The 16,146-nt window shown below is 42.1% G+C and overlaps 1 protein-coding gene across 19 annotated transcripts in view; it reads right to left on the bottom strand.

The window, feature by feature from the left end:
- The window catches only part of SUGCT (succinyl-CoA:glutarate-CoA transferase), a 903,812-nt gene that overhangs the window by 852,406 nt on the left and 35,260 nt on the right, over positions 1–16,146 (bottom strand). For 18 of the 19 annotated variants that reach the window (XR_007060157.1, XR_007060158.1, XR_007060156.1 and 15 more), the window contains exons 2-3: positions 5,413–5,464; positions 4,383–4,456 (exon numbers count right to left, since the gene is read on the bottom strand). Coding sequence is in view for 16 of the 19 variants with exons in the window: in XM_047420840.1 (XP_047276796.1) it covers positions 4,383–4,456; positions 5,413–5,464 (126 nt within the window). In the remaining 3 variants the exon portion in view is untranslated. Of the gene's footprint in view, positions 1–4,382; positions 4,457–5,412; positions 5,465–6,602; positions 6,853–16,146 lie in introns of those variants that run through there. The other variant, XM_017012621.1, reaches the window with a different exon arrangement.

Raw genomic sequence — 16,146 nt, 5'->3', positions numbered from 1 at the left:
AGCACACGCCTGTATTCCCAGCTACTTAGGACGCTGAGGTGGTAGGATCACTTGAGCTCAGGAGGTCAATGCTGCACTGAGCCAGGAGTGCGCCACTGCACTCCAGCCTAGGGGACAGAGCAAGATCCTGTGAAAAGAAAAGAAAAAGAAGAGAAGAGGAGGAAAGGGGAGAAGGGAGGGGAGGGGAGGGGAGAGGAGGGAAGGGGAGGGGAGGGGAAGGAATAAAAGAGAAAAGAAAGAGAAGGAAGGAAGGAAAAGAAGGAGAGAGAGAGAAAGAAAGAAGGAAAGAAAGGAAGGAAGGAAGGAAGGAAGGAAGGAAGAAAAAGAGAGAAAGAAAGAAAGAAAACAACAACCAAATTTTATGTAATTGAGGAACTGTAGAAGTGGATATAAAATGAAACTAGTTTTCTATTGAAATGTGAAAATACCACCAAGTTGCTTTTAATGAAAATCCCTTTTTCTCATATCTGTGTTGAATAACTATCTCAAAAACCCAAAACAATTAAATATATAATATGAATATTAAAATGTATTAATCAGAAGGGTGAAGACAGGGAGTCATAGTAACTGGTCAAAAAAAGGACAATAGGCCAGATGTGGTGGCTCGCCCCTGTAATCCCAGCACTTTGGGAGGCCGAGGTGTGTGGATCACCTGAGGTCAGGAGTTTGAGACCAGCCTGGTCAACATGGTGAAACCCCGTCTCTACTAAAAATAAAAAAATTAGCCGGGGGTGATGGCATATGCCTGTAATCCCAACTACTCAGGAAGCTGAGGCAGGAGAATCATTTGAACCTGGGAGGTAGAGGTTGCAGTGAGCCGAGATCGTGCCATTGCACTCCAGCCTGGGCAAGAAGAGCGAAAAGTCTGTCTCAAAAAAAAGAAGACAATAAATCCCTGCTAGGAACAAAGCCCGATACCAAGTGTATGGCGATGAGACATAATAAAGGCCTAGACAAAGAAAGATCTGTTGTGGTTTAGTTTCCATGGTGGAAACTAAAAAGTACAAAGAGGAAATAGGCCTCACTATATAGGGAACAACAATTTATAAAATTAATAGAAATACAAATGTTACCCTGGTGGCCAACAGAAATAGCAAGAGAAATTATTAATACATTGAATGTTCTATCTAGGAATGGAAAATGCAAGAAAACCAATGGTTGTAGTGCTGCAGTGTTGAAATCAGATAGCAATATGGAAATTAGAAGCTTTAAAGAAAAAAAACAAATGTTGAGCTAGAAAATAAACATTCTTCCGCATGTATCCAACAATGACTAAAAGCGATGAACATCATTAGCTGAATAAACAAAGCATCATCTCTGGGAGCAGGACTTGCCAGGCACTTCTACTGCCTAAGACTGTCAGGGATAATAAAAAGTAATAAAATATAATATACTAATATACAATATTCCCCATGCTCATCAGAGAATCTTCTGCTAACTGCTTTGGCCTCTTAAGAATATCTACTTAACAAGAAATTGAATCTTCCAGATCAAACATTCTACTTTCTGTAAAGACAAAATAAAATTTAAAATTTTTTAAAAAAGAAGGAAACAAACAAAAAGATATTCTACTTTATATGGCTATCACTTATGGTCAATTACTAAGTTGATGTAATTATAAATCATTCTCTTGTAAGTCTTAGAGATACATACACACTATTCAGCACTATACCAGTCTCACTGATTTGGGGATTCTGTTTAAGACCCGTAGGATCAGATCTTGAAACATAAATAATAATGCTAATTTTTGAAAACTTCTAAAACAAGCTGCATAGGCCATGTGTGGTGGCTTACCCACACCTATAATGTCAGCACTTTGGGAGGCTGAGGTCGAAGGATCGTTTGAGCCCAGGAGTTCAAGACCAGCCTGGGCAACATAGGAAGACCCTGTTTTTACCAAAAAAAAAAAAAATTTAATAAGGCCGGGTGCAGTGGCTCACAGAGTGAGACTCCATCTCAAACAAAACAAAAAAAATTTAGCCAGGCACAGTTGCGCACAACTATGGTTCCAGCTAAGGTAGGAGGATTGCTTGAGCCCGGGAGGTCAAGGCCGCAGTAAGCCATGATCACACAATGGCACTCCAGCCTGGATGACAGAGTGAGACCTGTCTCAAAAAAAAATAAAATAAAACAAGCTGTTTATATGATGATATAGCAGACATTAAAAAACATGGACTGTGCCCTTTAAGTGCTTATTGGAGAGAAAGGGCACAAAACAATGACACGTTCCTTTTTGAGATGGAGTGTGGCTCTTGTTGCCCAGGCTGGGGTGCAATGGCATGGTCTCGACTCACTGCAACCTCCGCCTCCCAGGTTCAAGAGATTCTCCTGCCTCAGCCTTCCAAGTAGTTGAGATTACAGGCATCTGCCACCATGCCCCACTAATTTTTGTACTTTTAGTAGAGAAGGGGGTTTCACCATCTTGGCCAGGCTGGTCTTGAACTCCTGGGCTCAAACGATCCGCCCACCTCGTCCTCCCAAAATGTTGGGACTACAGGCGTGAACCACCATGCCCGGCCAACAATGATGCTTTTCTAAGCAACTTTATCAATAACAGCTTGAACTAAACACCAAAATGCTAAGATGATACCAAACAAAAGTGAGAAATGTGTACACAGAATATATCTATTTGGTGAACAAAGGAGGAAGAAAGAACAGGAAAGATGTCAGATGAAAAACATAAAAGCAAAAAACTGATCTAAGCTTAGGCGTTTCCCGCTTCAAAACCTTTAAAATTATAAAATGGGGAAATGTTTCTTTTATTGGGAATAGAAAAAAATGGCCAGGAGTAGTAGCTCACACCTGTAATTCCAACATTCTGAAAGGCTGAGACAGGAGTTCAAGACCAGCCCAAGCAACATAGCAAGACCCTGTCTCTACACACACAAAAAAATTTTTATTATTATAGCTGGGCATGGTGGTACATGCCTGTAGTCCCAGCTATTCAGGAGGCTGAGGCAGGAGAACTGCTCGAGCCTAGTAGTTGGAGGCTATGGTGAGCTATGATCACACCACTGTACTCCAGCCTGGATGACAGAGGGAAATGCTGTCTCTAAAAAATAAAAACAAAAAGGAATAGAAAAGAATGACTTAGGTTGGAGTATTTGAGGTTTTTTGTTTGTTTGTTTGTTTGTTTTTGAGACAGGGTCTCACTCTGTCACCCAGGCTGGAGTGCAGTGGCACGACCTCGGCTCACTGAAACCTCCACCTCCCAAGTTTAAGAGATTCTTCTGCCTCAGCCTCCCAAGTAGCTGGAACCACAGGTGTCTGCCACCATGCCTGGCTCATTTTTGTATTTTTAGTGGAGACAGGGTTTCACCTTGTTGGCCAGGCTGGTCTCGAACTGCCGAATTCAGGTGATCCGCCTGCCTTGGCCTCCCAAAGTACTGGGATTACAGGCGTAAGCCACCACGCCCAGCCTTAGGTTGTTTTTTGAGGGACTGTGATTCCTTTTCCTTCTCTCCTTCTTCTGTACCCTATTTCTTCACTTTTATCCTCCTTTCTCCTGGCCTTCCCTTGATTCCACGGTGAGGGAGGGTGGCCAGGCCCATTGTAATCTCAGTCTCAATGCTAAAGCTAGGCTGGGGCTAAGGAAGGCCAGAATCATGGCTGAGGGTCTGGATATTCCTTATTACCTGTGTGCCCCTAAATAAGTTGCTTTACTTCTCTGTGCCTCCATTTTCTCCTTTATAAACTATGAATAATAGCATCAGCCCATAGGGTTGTTGTAAAGATTAAATAAGCCCAGGCAAAGCATTGAGAACTTTGCCCCGGCACTGTAGGTGTCATTATCATAGTTGTTATACGCTGCATCTCAGTCCCTTTTTTTTCATTTTTTTTTTTTTTTTTGAAACGGAGTCTTGCTCTGTTGCCTAGGCTGGAGTGCAGTGGCATGACCTTGGCTCACAGCAACCTCCACCTCCCGGGTTCAAGTGATTCTCCTGCCTCAGCCTCCCAAGTAGCTGCAATTACAGGTCCATGCCTGTCTACTTTTTTTTGTATTTTTAGTAGAGAAGAGGTTTCACCATGTTGGCCAGGCTGGTCTCGAAGTCCTGACCTCAAGTGATCTGCCCTCCTTGGCCTCCCAAAGTGCTGGGATTACAGGCGTCAACCACTGTGCCCAGCCTCAGCTTCTAACAAAAGCCTTCAGGTGCAAAGAAGAAACTGGCTTGAGCCTTAGCACTTAGCACACATAAGGAGTGAAAAAGATATCATTAGTGTTAGTTCACAGGAAAACAAGAAATGGAGAAGAAAAAGACAATCATTTCATTTTAATTCTCTCCTTATCCCACTTATAGGTACACTAAACATGGGTATTTAGAGAATTATTTTAAAATATTTATTAGCTTGTTTCTATTTTTTAAAGGGAGTAATAGCTTTACCTGGTCTCTCCACTTTTATAACTTCTGCTCCAAGATCTCCTAAATTCATAGTAGCAAAAGGTCCCGCCAGGACTCTACAATGTTAAAAATGATAAATAAATTAATTACCATCTTGAAAATGTTTATATTAATTATTTTCCAACAACCCGTCAACACAGACACGCTCATATAATCCTAGTAAGAATCAAAACAGTTAAAACTGTAATTTGGCCATATGTAATAGGAGCTTTAAAAATATATATCCCCTTTGATCCTATAATTCTTTTTCTTTTTTTTTTTTTTGGAGACGGAGTCTCGCTCTGTCACCCAGGCTGGAGTGCAGTGGCACTATCTCAGCTCACTGCAAGCTCCACCTCCTGGGTTCATGCCATTCACCTGCCTCAGCCTCCCGAGTAGATGGGACTACAGGTGCCCACCACCACGCCTGGCTAATTTTTTTGTATTTTTAGTAGAGACGGGGTTTCACCGTGTTAGCCAGGATGGTCTCGATCTCCTGACCTCATGATCCGCCCGCCTCAGCCTCCCAAAGTGCTGGGATTACAGGCGTGAGCCACCGCGCCTGGCCCCTATAATTCTTTTTCTAGAATTTTATCCTGAGGAAGAAATCAAAACTGAGGGAAACATTTGTGTACAAGGAAGCCTAATTTATAATCGTGAAAGATTAGAGGATGATTAAGTAATTATGTGACATCGATATATTAATTACTATTTCACTTTTTTGTTGAATTTTGAATAACATAGGAAAATATTAAAAATATAACATTGTGTTTAAAATATGGGTAAAACTAATTTCAATATGGTTCCAATTTTTGTTTTTTAAGATTATATATAAATATACATTGGGAAAAGGCATAAATACTACACTAATTGTCTCATAGAATGATGATATTACAGCAATTTTTCTTTTCTTATTTTCTTCTCTAAAATTTCAACATAAGCATATAAGTCTCTTCTTATAATTCAAAAAATTAAAAGTTTTTGAGGAAAGGGAAAAACCCAATCACCAAAATGTAGATAAACCAATACAAACCTTGTTAGATCCAGAATTTTTACCCCTTCCAATGGCTTTATATTGTTCATATCTGGCAAAACAGAGAAAACATTTCAAGATAATTCATTAGTAATTTTCTTACATTTTCACATACACCATTATAAGCTTGAGACAGATCACAAGGACTACAGTGATTCTTAGCAAGGGAGTCCACAGACCACAAGACTCTAGTAAAGAATACTGGAAGCTCAGCCAGGCACAGTGGCTCACTCCTGTATCCCAGCACTTTCGGAGGCCGAGGCAGGCGGATCACCTGAGATCAGGAATTCGAGACCAGCCTGGCCAACATGGTGAAACCCCATCTGTACCAAAAATACAAAAATTAGCCAGGCATGGTGGCACATGCCTGTAATCTCAATTATCGGGAGGCTGAGGCAGGAGAATCACTTGAACCCAGGAGGCAGAGGTTGCAGTGAGTTGAGATCATGCCGCTGCACTCCAGCCTGGGCGACAGAGCAAGGCTCTGTCTCGAAAAAAAAAAAAATACTGGAAGCTCATACAGTAGGCATTCTGTCCTTGAAATGAGCCAATTTATTATTTTGTAAGAAATTGCTGTCACAGGCCAGGTATGGTGGCTCACGCCTGTAATCCCACCACTTTGGGAGGCGGAGGCGGGTGGATCACTTGAGGTCAGGCACCTGAGACCAGCCTGGCCAACTTGGTAAATCCCATCTCTACTAACAATACAAAAAATAGCCAGGCACTGTGGGATGTGCATGTAATTCTAGCTACTCGCTGAGGCAGGAGGATCCTTTGAACCCGGGAGGCGGAAGCTGTAGCGAGCCGAGATCGAGCCACTGCACTCCACCTGAGCGACACAGCAAGACACCGTCTCAAAAAAAAAAAAATTACTATCACAATCACAGCAATAGCAAATATTTGAAGTGCGTGTGATTGGTGCATTATTTTCTTGACAGCATACTTACATGGAAAACCAAATTATAATCAGAAGGTAAACTGATAGGCAAAGCATCAGAAAAAGGGAAGTAGCTAAAACAATGTTTAATGTGGTAAATTGTTACAGCTATTTCCCCAAAAATCACACCTCCAGATATCCACAACCTCATACATTCTCCTCCCACGTTGGCACTGGGCTTGGACATCTGCCTTGTTTTCGCCAACAGGATATTAGGAAAGTTGATGCCAGCAGAGGCAGGATAAGTGCTTACACACTGGGGCTTGACTTTTTGGACCACTTCCATCTTCATGTGAAGAAGCACAAGATGAAAGAACACATGGAGAGAAGTTCAGCTGAGACTATCATTGCAGCAGTCCCGGCTGAGGCCCATACATCTGGATGAAGCCATCTTGGAACACCCAGGCCGAGCCAAGCCACTAGCTATTTGCAGACACATGAATAAACCCAGGTGAATCCAGCAAAAGAACTGCCCAACTGGCCGGGCATGGTGGCTCACGCCTGTAATCCCAGCACTTTGGGAGGCCGAGGCGGGCAGATCACCTGAGGTCAGGAGTTCCAGACCAGCCTGGCCAACCCTGTCTCCACTAAAAATGCAAAATTAGCCAGGTATGGTGACGCACGCCTGTAATCCCAGCTACTCGGGAGGCTGAGGCAGGAGAATCGCTTGAACCCAGGAGGCAGATGTTGCAGTAATCTGAGATGGCGCCATTGCACTCCAGCCTGGGCAACAAAAGCAAAACTGTCTTAAAAAAAAAAAAGAAAGAAAGAATTGCCCAATCAACCCACAGAACTTTGAGAAAAAAATAAAGTCTTGTTTTAACGCACTAAGTTTTGGAGTGGTTTGTTATATGGCAATAGATTAATACAATGGCTTACAGCAGAGATAACCTGTTATAGCAGTGAGAATGATCCTTTTTTATGTAAAACATAATATCCTTCCCTGCTCAAAATCCTCTATGGCTTCCTACTAAACTTAGAATGAAATCCAACTTCTTTCTGCAGCTCACAAAATCCTGCTTGTTGTGGCCCTTGACACTTAAAAATATGATAGAAGGAAAAATATTATAGAAAGGCAGAAAGATCGAGATAAGAAAATCACCTACAGAGCAGAACAAAAAAATAAAATAAAAGTGGAAAATGGAGAAAAGGTAAGAAAAATAAAACATCAGTCCAGGAAACCTAATAATATGAGCTTCTTTAGTGAACAGCAAAAACAGAAAAGAGAATATTACCAAAGAAATAATTCAGAAAAAATTGCCTAGAACTGAAAGGCATAAATTTCCAGATTGGAAGGTCCCTCTACTGGCCCAGTATAATGGATTTTAAAAAGACACAGAGCAAGCACACCAAGACATCATTGTGAAAATCTGGAATACTGACTTCTCTGACAAAAGGTCTTAAACATTTCTAGGGAGAAAAAAGCAGGTCAGATATAAAGTATTGGTTATCAGGAGGACATTGAATTTCTCAACAATGCTGAAAGACAAAAAACTGGAGCAAAAAAAAAACCCTTAAAATTCTGAGGGGAGAAATTCTTTCTCTCTAAAATTCTAAACCCAATTAAAGCACAAGTCAAGTGTGAGGGTAGAAAAAAATATATTTTTAGTCACACAGGTTTTCAAAAACTACCTCTCATGCATCCTTTCTCGGAAAAATTACTTTCAAAGGTAATCTAGAAATTTAGAAAATTACTTTATAAGAAAATCATTCCTCCCCACCTGAATATAAGGAAGACTCTAGATCCAACTTACAAATAAGTGACAGGAGCTATAGGAGACAGAGGACTATGTTCAAGGACACCATATGGAAGCAGGCAGAAAAATCCAGAATGCCTGAAACACTGTAGGAAATGGAAATGTTTATTTCTTTAAAAAATAAAAAGGCAAGGAAAATGCAAGATGTAGAAGAAGACCCCAAATTAAATGAGACTTAAGAAAAGTGTCAACCAACCGCAGTATATGAGCCTCACTTAGAGCCTGATTCAAACAAACTATTAAAAATCAGATAATGGTAGGCAAGGTGGCCCATGCCTGTAATCCCCGCACTTTGTGAGGCCAAGGCGGACCTATCACTTAAGGTCAGGAATTCGAAACCAGCCTGGCCAATAATGGTGAAACCCCATCTCTACAAAAATACAAACATTTAGCTGGGTGTGGCGAGGAGCACCAGTTGTCCCAGCTACTCAGGAGGCTGAGACAGGATAATCTCTTGAACCCAGGAGGCAGAGGTTGCAGTGAGCCGAGATTACACCACTGCACTCCAGCCTGGGCAACACAGGGAGACTCCATCTCAAAAATAAAATAAAATACAAAAAGAATAAAATAAAACAAAGCAGAGGGGTGAAGTGAAAGCTCAGGATGACAACAAGGAAGATACCAACACAATAGCTGAGAGGTTTGCACTTGCATTGCGGTATGGGATAAATGGAGGATAGATATTGAGAAGGCAATTAAAGAAACTGGACAAATATTAACAAAGAGAAATAAGAAGGTATACATGAGCAGCAATGTAATCAGAGTATGAATAATAATTGTACTATTTCAAAAAATTTTTTAAACAAACGTAATTTAACAGTTTAATTTAGCAAGGAAAAATGATTTGTGAAATCGGACAACCCCTCCCCACCCTCCCCCAAGTCACAGCAGATTTAGAGGGCCGCCAGCGCTGCTTGTATAGTGGGCGCAGTGGGAGAGAACTTATGGATAGAAAAAGGAAAGTGATGTGCAGGGAGCAGAAGCAAGGTATAGAAACAGCTAGTGCCTTATCAGAACACGATCTGAATAGCTGGTGGCTTAAGTCTTTGAGGTCCAGCTGCTGGGACTGGCTGAGAGTCAGCAACTGTTATTGAAGCATACCCCTAAGTTAGGTTTTCAGTTTGCTTACCTACTAAATTAGGTTGTGGGTTGTAGGTAAAAACTCAAGTATGTGAGTATGGAGGCTTTCTTAGGCCAGATTTTAGTTTGATGAAACAATATAATAACAACCTAAATACTGAATAGTGATCTAACAAAATGTATAATTTGGAAGGATGGAAAGGGCATGCATATTTGTTCAAATGGTAGTGAAAGAAAGCTAGTCTTTTTTTTTTTTTTTTTTTGGAGACGGAGTCTCACTCTGTCTCCCAGGCTTGCGATCTTGGCTCACTGCAATCTCCGCTTCCCAGGTTCAAGTGATTCTCCTGCCTCAGCCTCCCAAGTAGCTGGGATTACAGGCACCTGCCACCAGGCCCAGTTAATTTTTGTATTTTTAGTAGAGACGGGGTTTCGCCATGTTGGCCAGGCTGGTCTCAAACTCCTGACCTCAGGTGATCCACCCACCTCGACCTCTCAAAGTGCTGGGATTACAGGCATGAGGCACCGTGCCTGGCCTGAAATTTAGTCTTTATCTCTACCGATAGTGCCTTAAAAAAAAAACAAAATAATCAATAACATTATAATCAGGTTATTTAGCAATTTGGCAGAAAAAAAAGGCAAAAAGAATTGAAATTTGTTATCTCTGGGCAAAGGGAAGGGGCAGAAAGGCATAAGGGGTTACTCTTCTTCATAATTAACACTGCAGAACTTCTGAAGTTTTAAAACCAAGTATACCTAAAACTTTGATTTTAAAAATTAAAAGATAAATTATAAATTATACTACATTTGTGAACAAGAGTGAAGTATCATTCTGTGTATCTCCTGCTATACAGCCCCCTGCAGTGTTTTGATAAATATTTCCACTATGAAGCTTTTACTGACTCATTGTACACATGGCAGCAGCACCACAGAGGAATTACAGTTAATACTCAGATTCTGTATTTGGGAATTTGACTACTCACTAAATTTTTTTTTTTTTTCTTTTGAGATGGAGTCTTGCTCTGTCACCCAGGCTGGAGTGATCTCAGCTCACTGCAACCTCCACCTCCCGGGTTCAAGTGATTCTCCTGCCTCAGCCTCCCAAGTAGCTAAGATTACAGGCATGTGCCACCATGTCCCGCTGTTTTTTGTACTTTTAGTAGAGACGGGGTTTCGCCATGTTGGCCAGGCTGATCTCCAACGCCTCATCTCAGGTGATCCATCCACCTCAGCCTCCCACAGTGCTGGCATTACCGGCATGAGCCAGCCACCACGCCCAGCCTACTCACTAAAATTTATTTGTAACCCCAAAATCAATACATGTGGAGCTTTCACGGTCATTCCCAGACATGCACAGATGCAGGAAAATTTGAGTAGGTCATTGTGCATGTTCCCAGCTGAGGTTGAACAAGGTGATACTTGTTTCACCTCTCATACTATAAACAAGTGTCCTCTTGCAGTATATTTAATGTTACGTTTTTAACATTTTTGTGCTTTTTGTTGGTGATCTCACTGTTTATGGCCCAGAAGCATAGTGCTGTCTAGTGTTCCCAAGCATAAGAAGGCCATGATGTGCCTTATGGAGAAAATACATTGTTAGATAAGCTTCATTCAGGCATGAGTTATAGTGCTGCAGATCATGAGTTCAATGTTAATGAATCAATAGGGTGTTAATGAAATCAATAAGTTGTCTTTAAAAAGAAACACAGTCCAGGTGCGGTGATTCACACCTGTAATCCCAGCACTTTGGGAGGAGGAGGCAGGCGGATCACTTAAGGTCAGGAGTCAGAGACCAGCCTGGCCAGCATGGCGAAACCCTGTCTCTACTGAAAATACAAAAAGCAGCTGGGCATGTTGGTGCATACCTGTAATCCCAGCTACTAGGGGGGCTGAGGCAGGAGAATCGCTTGAACCCGGGAGGCAGAGGCTGCAGTGAGCCGAGATTGCACCACTACACTCCAGCCTGGGAGACAGAGTGAGACTCTGTCTCGAAAAAAAAAAAAATTTAAACGCACTACAGTGAAAGATACCATGAACACAATTAGAAGATAAATGACAGCCCGAAAGGCTAAAAAATAAAGAAGAAAGGTTTTTAAGTATAAAGAACTCTCACATATCAGTAAGAAAGAAACACAGCGTAATGGAAAAGTGGGAAAAGAACATGAGCAACCAACTCACAAATAAATAAAAATCTCCAGTATCATAGCAAAAGATGTTCATAGCAATTCCACTTAAAATAAAAAAGATGAATATTATCACAATAAAATTTTTTTTCTCACCACATTGGAAAACATTTAAAAGATAACTATTCAATACTCGCAAAAGTGGGGTGAAATGGACACTTTCATACATTGTGGAATATCAATCAGTAACAATCTTTTAGGAGAGCAATTGACACTTTCCATAATATTTTAAAATCTTAATAGCCTTTAATTAAGTTTTCCTGTTGGCAGAATTGAATTCACAGGAACATTCTATAAGTATGCTAAGACATAGGTATAAAAATGTTCATGGCAGAAATTTTGTTTTTTCTGCTGTACTTTAGATGTTTTATAATCAACTTTATTCATTTATTTATGTTTTGAGAGACAAGGTCTGGGCTTTGTTGCCCAGGCTAGGGTGCAGTGGCAGGAACATACATAGTTCACTGTAACCTCGACCTTCTGGGCTCAAGCAATCCTCTCACCTGAGCCTGCTAAGTAGCTGAGGCTACAGGCATGAGCCACTGCATCCAGCACCTAATTAACTTTATTGAAGAATGACTTACATATAATAACACTATATATAATAAATTATAATATTCTTAGCCAGGTGTGGTGGCATGCTTGTGGCCCTACCTACTTGAGAAGCTGAGATCGGGAAATAACATGAGCCCAGGAGTTCAAGGTTACAGAGAGCCATGATGGGCCAGGTGTGCTGGCTCACGCCTGTAATCCGAGCACTCTGGGAGGCCGAGGTGAGAGGATCACCTGAGGTCAGGAGTTCAAGACCAGCCTGGCCAACATGGCAAAACCCCGTCTCTATTAAAAATACAAAAATTAGCCAGGCATGGTGGCGCACACCTGTAATCCCAGCTACTTGAAAGGCTGAGGCAGGAGAATTGCTCCAACCCAGGAAGCAGAGGTTGCAGTGAGCCAAGATCATGCCACTGCACTCCAGCCTGGGGGACAGAGTGAGACTCCATCTCAAAAAACAAAACAAAAAAAATACAGTGAGCCATGATCACACCACTGCATTCTAGCCTGAGCAACAGAGCAAGACCCTGTTTCTAAGAAAAATACACACACACACACACACACACACACACACACACAGGATATACATTATATAAATAAATTATGTTATACAAATAACTATATATAATACATTATATATAATTTATATGATATACTATATATTATTTCTATAAATACAATAAATTGTACAATTAAATAAATTTTGACAGATGTATACACCTGTGAAATTGAGAGACAGGACTAGCTGGATTTCCTAGTCCAACTAAGAATTCCTAAGACTAGCTGGGAAGGTGACCACACCCACCTTTAAACACGGGGCTTTTAACTCAACTCACATCCAACCAATCAGGTAGTAAAGAGGGCTCACTAAAATACAATTAGGTTAAAAGCAGGAGGTAAAGAAATAGACAAATCATATATCACCTGAAAGCACAGGGTAAGGGACAATGGGATATAAACCCCAGGCATTTGAGCCGGGAGTGGGCAACCCCCTTTGGGTCCCCTCCCATTGTATGGGAGCTCTGTTTTCACTCTATTAAATCTTGCAACTGCACACTCTTCTGGTCCGTGTTTGTTATGGCTCAAGCTGAGCTTTCGCTTGCTGTCCACCACTGCTGTTTGCTGCTGTCGCAGACCCGCCGCTGACTTCCACCCCTCCGGATCTGGCAGGGTGTCCGCTGTGTTTCTGATCCAGTGAGGCACCCATTGCTGCTCTCAATTGGGCTACAGGCTCGCCATTGTTCCTGCATAGCTAAGTGCCTAGGTTTGTCCTAATCGAGCTGAACACTAGTCACTGGGTTCCACGGTTCTCTTCCGTGACCCACGGCTTCTAACAGAGGTGTAACACTCACTGCATGGCCCTAGGTTCCATTCCTTGGAATATGTGAAGCCAAGAACCCCAGGTCAAAGAATAAAAGACTTGCCGCCATCTTGGGAGCAGCCTGCCACCATATCATGGGAGCTCTAAGAACAAAGACCCACCCGTAACATTTGGTGGCCTCGTCTGGGGATTCTCCAAAGCTGTGAGTAATATTGGACCACTTTCACTTGCTATTCTCTCCTATCCTTCCTTAGAATCAGAGGAAATACCAGGCACCTGTTGGCCAGTTAAAAACGATTAGCATGGCTGCTGGACTTAACACTCAGGTGTGAGGCTTCCTGGGAAAAGGCTTTCTAACAACCCCCAACCCTTCTGGTTGGGAGCGATGGTCTGCCTGGAACCAGCTTCTGCTTTCACAATTTTCCTGGGGAAGCTGAGGGCTGACTAGAGACAGAAAGGTGTCATCCCAAACTCCCAGCATTGGCCGGTCGAGATCATGGTGCAGCCAGAAGTCTTTACTCAACAGTTGCCCATGCGTGCGCCCCTACATCTCCTTCTGACCCATACGTCCTGGGTCCTGATCATGACTTTTTTAAAGTGTAGCCTCAAAATTCTCCTTACCTCTGAATCTATTTCCTCTGATCCCTGCCTCCTAGGTACTAATGCTTCAGACTTTCACTTCCTCTCCCAAGTATTAGAGAAGCTTGTATCTCCAAAGGGATCTAAGGAAGCGCTACGCTGTGTCCTTAGGCATCTAGGCTATGAACCCAGGGAGTCTTGTCCCTGGTGCCCCTCCCAATATATAGCTCTTGACATGGGCAGTTATGTGGGACCCGTTTCCCACCACCCTTGCCAGGACCCCAAGTTTGTAAATGGCTAGGATTCCTCTCCCATTGTGTAAGATGCTCTCCTCCCCCAATTTCTACCCAGCTTCCCCCACTGCAATACAATCTCCAAGCCTCGGCTCCTTGGCCAGGGCCTTAGAACTGATGACCCAGTACTTTAACAACTGGAACTGGGTCTATGACAACATAATAGATCAGGATGAAAGCGAATTGAGTAAATTAAAGGGAGGCACACATTCCTATAGTGGCAAATGGGGGCAACAAGCTAACGTCCTTCCACCGTGTTCCCAAAATCCATCTACCAAAAGAGAGAGAGGGAAAGAGAGAAAAGGGAAAGAGAGAGAGAGGAAAAGAGAGAAAGAGAGATACACAAGTAGTTAAAGAAAAAACAGTATATACCCTATTCCTTTAAAAGCCAGGGTAAATTTAAAACCTACAATTGATAATTGAAGATCTTCTCCGTGACTCTATAACACTCCAATACTACCTTGTTGTCAGTGTAAACAAGGGCGTAGCCTGAAAACACTGAGACCACTGACAACACATACCTAGCCTTCCTATCAAAAATTCTTAATCCACTAACCTGCGGATGGCCCAAATGCATTCAATCAGTAATGGCAACTGCTTTGCTTAGCAGCAGTAGAAAAGTAACGTTTAGAGGAAACCTCATTGTGAGCACACCTCACCAGCTCAGAATTATCCTAATTCAAAAAAAGCAAAAACGTAGCTTACTAACTCAAAAGTCTAAAAGTATAGAGCTATTCTGTTAGAAAAAGGTGATTTAACACTAACCACTGAAAATTCCCTTAACCCAGCAGATTTCCTAACAGGGGATTTAAATCTTAATTACCATACAAAGGTCCAACCAGACCTAGGAGGAACTCCATTCAGGACAAGAAGGTAGATGGTTCCTCCAGGGTGACTGAGGGAAAAAACACAATGGGTATGCAGTAATTGATAGGGAAACACTTGTAAAAGCGAGTTAGGAAAATTGGTCTGCTCAAACATGTGAGCTGTTTACACTCAGGCAAGCCTTACAGTACTTACAAAAAAAGCAAACCCATCTTTTTCTCCTTGCTCTTCTTCTCGTAGGAAAAAGGCACATAGGATAAACAGGATTCATCTCTCATATTTCTTACCCAAAAGGACTTAATCTGGGGCAAGAAAAAGTTTAAGGTCGATAATTAGGGCACATTCCTACAAAGGAAAGAAGGACAAAGGCCCTAGTGGGCAAAAACTCTATCTCAATCCTAACCCAAAAGGTTACCTACACCCTCTCTGAAATAAATTTGCATAAGAACTGTTGCATCTTGATGGGGCAGCTGGGTTGTTATGAAATATTCAGGAACCCAGCCCAACTCTAGAACTCACCCCTGAGCGCAAAGGCAATGTCGGGTATGCTGGTAAAGGACCACTAGAATCCAGCAGCCCCAACCCCTTTCTCTGTGGTCAAGAGAGGCAGGAAAAGAGGTGCAGGACTGCTACATCAGTAAGCGTTAACTATTCCGATAAGCAGAGGTCCATGGGTGGTTATGCACCCTGGAAAGGAACTCACCTCTGAGTGCAAAGGCAATGTTGGGCAAGCTGTTAAAGGACCACTAGACTCCAGCAACCCATACCCCTTTCTTTGTGGTTAAGAAAGGTGGGAAAACAGGTGCAGGACTGCTACATCGGTGAGCGTAACTAATCCGATAAGCAGAGGTCCATGGGTGGTTATGCACCCTGGAAAGGAATAAGCATTAGGACCATAGAGGACACTCTAGGACTAATGCTCATTGGAAAATGACTAGAGGCACTGGCATCCCTATGTTCTTTTTTCAGATAGAAAATGTTCCCCCTAAGGCAAAAATGACCCTAAGATGTATTCTGGAGAATTCAGCCCAGTCAGAGTGTATGTACTTTTCTCCCTGTCAGACTTGAAGCAAATTAAAATAGACCTAGGTAAATTCTCAGATAACCCTGATGGCTATATTGATGTTTTATAAGGGTTAGGACAATCCTTTGATCTGACATGGAGAGATATAATGTTATTGCTAGATCAGACACTAACCCCAAATGAGAG

Source organism: Homo sapiens, chromosome 7 (genome assembly GCF_000001405.40).
Source record: "Homo sapiens chromosome 7, GRCh38.p14 Primary Assembly".
Classification (NCBI taxonomy): domain Eukaryota; kingdom Metazoa; phylum Chordata; class Mammalia; order Primates; family Hominidae; genus Homo; species Homo sapiens.
This window is presented reverse-complemented; position numbering and strand designations above follow the sequence as displayed.